At 37.8% G+C, this 6,998-nt stretch overlaps 1 annotated feature.

Moving 5' to 3' along the window:
* Nucleotides 3,770-3,869: an enhancer, noted in NCBI's record as "active region_24845". NCBI's record gives its function as "activates an Ori minimal core promoter by ATAC-STARR-seq in GM12878 lymphoblastoid cells {active_cell/tissue: GM12878}" and the evidence as "EXISTENCE:reporter gene assay evidence [ECO:0000049][PMID:35858748]".

The raw sequence follows: 6,998 nt of genomic DNA, 5'->3' as shown, positions 1-6,998 counted from the left end.
AATATTTACCATAGGTACAAGGATAAGTAGCCATATTTTAGAAGCATAGAGAGCTTCAGTAACTTCAAAGATTACTTAGTAAGTGTTGAAGCCTGGATTTAGTCCTGTTAGGTTATTTTCAGAACCTTGTGCTTCTAACTGATACGCTATGTTGCCTTTGTAAGATTATGAGAATTAATGAGATGTCATGCAAAGTGCCTGAGGCATATGAGGACAGGACTACTCAATGCTCACCGTATATGAGAATCATCTGTAGAATTCTGGGAAAATACAGATGTCTGCTGTGAGAGGCTGGTGTAAGTCTGGGAGACGCCTGGGTTCATGGATTCTGGATCACGGGTGTTTAAAAAATATCTATGACCAGTGCCACCAGCATGTTCCAAATTGCTGATCACTTGTGCAGGTGAAATAGCATTCTCTGGTCTAAAGTTTATTGTGAAAGAAGGTAAGGATCAGAGAATAGACAGAAGGGTGGCCTTGAAGGAGTTTGAAGAAAGGAAGCTTTCCAGATGATGGAAGGGAGAAGGAAAGAATTTCAGGAGATTCAAAGATTTGGGGATAGGGTGAGGAGAGGAAGGAAGGAGATTAATAGACTGGACAGGAAAGCCAGGATCCAGGGAGCTGATAGAGGAAAAGCTCTCAAGAAGGGAGAAGCCTTCTACAGCAAAGTGGGTGGATTTGGGAAAATTCTACCATAAATAAATAGGATGACCATATAATTGTTTGCCCAAACTAAGATACTTGAAAAGGGACACCAATTACATCATGATAACAGGGACAATAGGCATAAACTGGAATGTCCTGGACAAATTAGGAGGTTTGATAATCCTAACTGCAAGAGGCACTGTTGGAGGACTTAAAGGCCACCTGCGAGCTGGATGTAACTGTCTTGGCTCCAACTTGCCAAGGTTTAGCATCTCACCATCACTCAGGAATGATTCCTGTCTGTACCGGGGGGCTTTGCTTCGTCCCCAAATACTTGTGTATGGACATCCCCTCTTCTGTATTTACTCAATGCCCTCAAAACACCCATAATCTCAAGAAAAGGAGAGTGGGGCCCTGAGCATTTAGTATGAGGAGGCATCTAATACCCATACTTGGAGGGATTGAACTGAAGGGCTCAAAGCACCCTGAATTGGGGCTGTGCTTAAAGATAGCCTGTTGGCTACAAGTTGAAAATATACAAGAAAAGAACAAGTATAAAGGATTAAAATGGTTTTATGCACCTCAAATAGCCATCACTCATTGTTTGATAACTATTTTGTCTCAACAAAGACCAATCTATGAAACAGTCTGAGAGAAGGAATGTATTTTTTTGTTTTTTTGTTTTTTGTTTTTTAGTGTGGATGCTCCATTTCTTCTGCTTCAGGAGTAATAGGACTGTATTACTTATTAGAAGGAATGGTGAAAATCAGAAGCACTTATTAGGTATAAATCCCTATGTAAAAATCCCTATGTATTAGGTATAAATCCTTATGCTTTAAATTCAGAGCATTTGGGTCACGAATTCCAGGTACTCCCATACTTTTTTTTTTTTTTTTTTTGCCACTGTCAGTGCCCCAACAATAAAACTAAATCTTGGGAGCACTTGTGAATAGAATTGTAGAAGAGGGGCTCACTAGTTAGAAGAGTAGAATCCTGAGCAGAGCTGGAGTTCTGTATTTTTCAGTGTATTGATATTGTAAAATATATAGTAGGTAACATCAAAATTCCTTCCTTCTCTGCTTCCTGTGAGGAAAAAGGTAACAAGGAAGTCATTGTAAAGATGAATAATTTGGGAATACGAATTTAGTTAAAATGGGATAAGCCAGTACCTGGGAATTGAGAAGTAATCCCTGAGATGAAATGGATGACAGTAGAGTTGATGAGCAGGGAAATTCCTCAGTTACATGAGAGATAATAACCTTTGGAAAGGTTATCTAATTCTTAAACAGAAAAGTTACCTGACTGACAATCAACTCTGCTTATGGTTGAAATGCAAGCAAAGTAATAATTTATATATAGGATTATTGACATCCACATATGGAAATAGAAGGGGCCACTGAGGAAAAATAGATCAATTTCTAAAATAAGCCTTGGACCTTTTTTATTTCCAGAAGAATAAATATTGATTAATATGTATTTGGTAGTAAAAATTCCATTTAGAGCTAATGATATTTGAGCAATTTTGCCATGTGTGTCTGCTTTATAGCATTTTGTATGGGGAATATCATAGCCAAAGTTTTCTCTGAATGTCTTCCTGCATTTCAGGGTAAGCATAACACAAATCACCTAATACTTTAACTGAACTATATAATAATTACTACATGTATTTTAGAATTAGTTTTAATTTCCTTTCATTTTTCAATGATCCTGTTACACAACCAGGCGATTTGTATGTTTATGTGTAACATACCAGTATGTTATTGTGTAATATTTAAATTTTACTTTTTTACTTTTAATTGTTTTCAGTATATGGCATTATGATTTGCCATGTCTTTATATGGTTTGGCAAGTATAGAAACAGATGCTGTTTTTTAATTGCCCATGTAAGAAACAATACAAATGAGCTCCTATTTATTATTCACATTATTTTTAGGTGTAGGGAAATACTTGCATAGAGTCATAGAGTATTCAACTCTGATTGACTTTGCTTATTGCTCCTTAGGCCATTATCCATTCATTATTCAATCATTTCTATATTAGTCCTTCCTCTTCTGGTGCTGGCTCAGAACTGATGCTATGGCTTCAGATAAGGAGCATAGAAATGGGGAAAAGCCATTTAAAATGCGTCTTGTAGAAAGAAAGGGGGATAGAGAGAGAGATTGATTTATTACATTTTGCTTTACAAATATCTCAGAAATCCTGCAACACCACCAAAGAAAAAGAGTACCTTGTCTCTTCTTAAATTGTTCTTTTGTTGCATCTTTTTCTTTCATCACCAACCCTGATATTTCTGGAGGAATAATAAAAGGTAAGACAATATTTTTTAAAGACCCAATTTAAGAGATTGTAAAGCCTCGAAACAACATTCTTAATAAAGCCTTTAAATATTTAGGTTACCACATTCTATTTTTTTCAGAGACCCATTTCTAGGTAGGTCAAATGTGCAATCTACTTCTGAATATAGATTTAAGATTAATAGCATTTTTTAAAACTTTCTCTGCTTGCACAAGTTATTAAGCAAAAAGAAGGCAAACATTTCAACTTTGCTTAATAGCTGTTTAAAAGATAAGTGGCTTTTCAAATTCTTTTCTCAAATCAATAATATTACCAGTTGTTCATTCATCACAAATATTTATTGATATGCCCATTATGTGCCAGGCACTTATCTAGAGGCTGGGGATACTGCATGGAAGATAACAAAGTTCCAAGTCTCATGGAGCTTAAGTTTTATACTGTTAGCTGCTATTCAGTTATCTATTTCTCCATAACAAACCATCTCAAAACCTAGCAGCTTAAAACAATTCATTATTATCTCTCATGATTCTGCAGATTGAAGAACCATTGAAGCTCAGCTAGATGGTTTTCCCTTGGGATCTCTCATGTAGTTGCAGCTGGGGCTGTTGTCGTCTGAAGGCTCACCTGGGCGGGACATTCAAGATAGCCTACTCTTATGGCAGCATTTGATAATGTTTGTTGGCTGAGAGTTCAGCTAAGGCTATAGACTGGAGCATCTATAGGCAGCCTGTTCATGTGGCATGGGCTTCTTATAGCATAGTGATTGGCTGGGTTCAAAAACAAACATTACAGAACAAAGAAAGTGAAACTGTCAGGTCAGCTGCTGCTGCTGCTGCTTTTTTTTTTTTTTTTCCTTTGAGATGGAGTTTCGCTCTTGTTGCCCAGGCTGGAGTGCAATGATGCAATCTCGGCTCACTGCAACCTCTGCCTTCCAGGTTCAAGTGATTCTCCTGTCTCAGCCTCCCAAGTAGCTGGGATTACAGGTGCCGGCCACCACACCTGGCTAATTTTTCATATTTTTAGTAAAGACAGGGTTTCACCAGGTTGGCCAGGCTGGTCTCAAACTCCTGACCTCAGGTGATCCACCTACCTCGGCCTCCCAAAGTGCTGGGATTATAGGCATGAGCCACTGTGCCTGGCCTGTCAGCTTCTTTAGGCCTGGGCTTAGACACTGGCAAAGCATCACTTCTTTATTCTATTTGTCAGAGTAGTCACAAAGTCTGCCTTGATTCAAGTGTAGGGAACATAAACCGCAGTATGGGAAAAGTGTCAAAGAACTTGTGGCCATCTTTGCCCTTTGCAGTGCATCGTATCAGGAAATACATGATGTCAATTTGTCTCATTTTGATGATGTTAACTTTGATAGCTTGGCTAAGGTGGTATCTGTCAGATTTTCACTATAAAATTACTATTTTTTGTGGTTAATAAGTTATTGCTTAGGAAAGGGCATGAGAAGCTCTGGAAGTGTTCTCAATCTTGATCTTGGTAGCCATTGCGTTAGTATATGCAAATGTACAAATACATCAAGCTGTACATTTCAGAATAAAGCATTTTACATACATTAGTATATTGTGTTTAATACTTTAATAAAAAAGAAAAAAATTAAAAAATTAAATTCACCATTTTTACCTTCATATCTTGCCCTATTGTGCATCCTTTGGTTGTTTGGACAGTGATCCCACTAATCTCCCAATTACAAAGACTGCAAAACTCAGACACAATGACTGTTCTGTAATTCGCCCCTGCCACCAGCTTCCTGCTTCAGTAATGACTCTCTATAATTCAGTTTTCAACTAGCACTCAGGCTAATTTTTCCAAAAACACAAATATGAAAATGCTGCTCCTTTGTGATAAATTCATTCTATCATCTTAGGATAAAATCCAAGTTCCTTAAGTTGTAAGGAACTCCGTGCCTACTTAATCTCTCCAAACTCATCTCTCACGACTTTCTCAGTGTGAACTCCAGCTTTCCTAAGTTTCCTACCGAGATATGTATTTACCTATGACCTAAAATGCAGAATAATACTTCAGAGATTTATTGAATGGCAGTTTAGTTCAATTCTAGCTAGTGAATATTACTGAGTGTTAATTTGGTGCAAGGCTCTGAGCTATGTAAGAGTTATGATAAAGAATAAAAATAGTCCCTCGCTTGCTAGTTGGGACAAGAGAAGTGTGCAGATTACCCCATTACAGGGCAAAATTTAGTAAGTGCTGTAAGTATAAACACAATGCAATGGGGAATCAAAGGTGTGAGAGATGAAACCCCTGTTGAGCATGACTTATTTGCCTGAATTAATGGTACTGTCCCAAGAAAAATGAATGGAGCTGCAGCTGCCATTTAAGGGGAAAAAGAATACAAAAGTAATTACTTCACCAAAGAATTCAGGTTCCCAGCAATCCTAGTCCCTTTGTGTGGCTGGTGTATTTGGTGACTATGCATGTGGAAGGTCTTCCACTCCCTGTGAATACACTCCAGTTCTTGAGAGGCTATTTAAGTATTCATCCTTTGTGTGGTTTTGATTTTCCTATGCTGGTAGATATTGTTAGCATTTTGATTTTCTCTTTGCAGAGCACTGCTGTGGCTGGTACAGTGGAGGCTGGCACTCCACCTTGATGCTCACTGTGGGGCTTTTGTGCAGAGTCTGTTATCCTCAAAGAGCCCTCTTTAATGTTTACAGAGAAGGTGTGACCTCTAGCAGAATCTCAGAGCTTCACATTTTATTAGACACCTAATGTTCTTTCTATACCTACTATTTATATTTATGTGCATTGGAATCCTTTGGCTATATAGCTGCTATAGAAGAGCCAACTGCATTAGCTTGCTCGGGCTGCAGAATAAAATATCACAGACTGGGTAAATTAAACAAACAACAGCAATTTATTTCCTCACAGCTCTGGAGGCTGAAAGTTTGAGATCAAGGAGTTGGCAGGGTTGGTTTCTTCTGAGGCCTCTCTCCTTTGTTTGTAGATGACCATTTTTTTCTCCCTGTGTCTTACATGGTCTTTCCTCTGTACCTGCTTATATGCTAATCTTCTCTTTTTATAAGAACACCAGTCATATTGGATTAAAGCCCACCCTAACGACCTCACTTAACCTTAAGTACCTCTTTAAAGGCCCTATCCCCAAATATAGGCACATTCTGAGGAATTAGAGTTTCAGATTTCAACATATGAATTTGAGGAGTTGGGGACACAGTTCAGCCCATAACACCAACTTGTGTCAGATTTTAGCTGCATATGTTTATTTAAGGGCACAAGTTGATCTTGGTGCATTTTGCATAGCATAAAGTTCAGGCTAGTTTATGCTGCAATTGAGACTGAATATTTCTGTTAATGATAATTGGGACATCTGCTCATTGAAGCATTGTATAGCACTGGATGATATCTTAATCAAAATTGAGTCTAGTTCCCTCATTTTGCAGGGTCAGGTCTGGTGTCTAAATTCAAACAGTTAAAAGCAGAGTCTAGAACGCAGCATCCTGTTCCCTGATCCACCATGCAGTGTTTCACCTACCCTGTAATAACACCTTAATTTCCTGAAGATGATCTGGAGATGCTGGATGACTTCAGAGTTTCTTTCTTGTCATCAGAAATAAAATCAATAGTAGGTATAGTTTTTGGTTTAAGAGTTCTAATTGTGTTCTGGTGCTTTGAATATATTTGCAACTCATATTTAATATTTATAGTAATTTTACATAAGTGAATTAGCAGTTTTAGAGCATGTTAGCAAGGCACATCTGTGTTCAGTTATCAGCTTCCCCACTACTGGAAAGTTATTTAAACATTCTCAAGTTCATTCTCCCACCAACAAAGGTCACCCACTATTTATATAGCCGTGACGATATGTCAAACTAACCAGAAATAAGTGTATGAACTTCATGGTCTTCAGAATAAAACACAACCCACATTATAATAACAATGAAATTGCCCTACCGTAATTGTGATAATGATAAAGAATTGATTTCTGGATCTCTAGAATTATCTTCTCTAGCTATTATTGTCTTCATGGCTTTGTAAACTTAAATCCTCTCTTATGCCCCCCAGTTTGTAAACTTGTA

The sequence above is a fragment of the Homo sapiens genome, chromosome 6 (assembly GCF_000001405.40).
Source record: "Homo sapiens chromosome 6, GRCh38.p14 Primary Assembly".
In the NCBI taxonomy this organism is placed as follows: Eukaryota; Metazoa; Chordata; class Mammalia; order Primates; family Hominidae; genus Homo; species Homo sapiens.
Note: the sequence above shows the minus strand (reverse complement) of the source record. Positions and strands in the feature narration are given on the sequence as shown.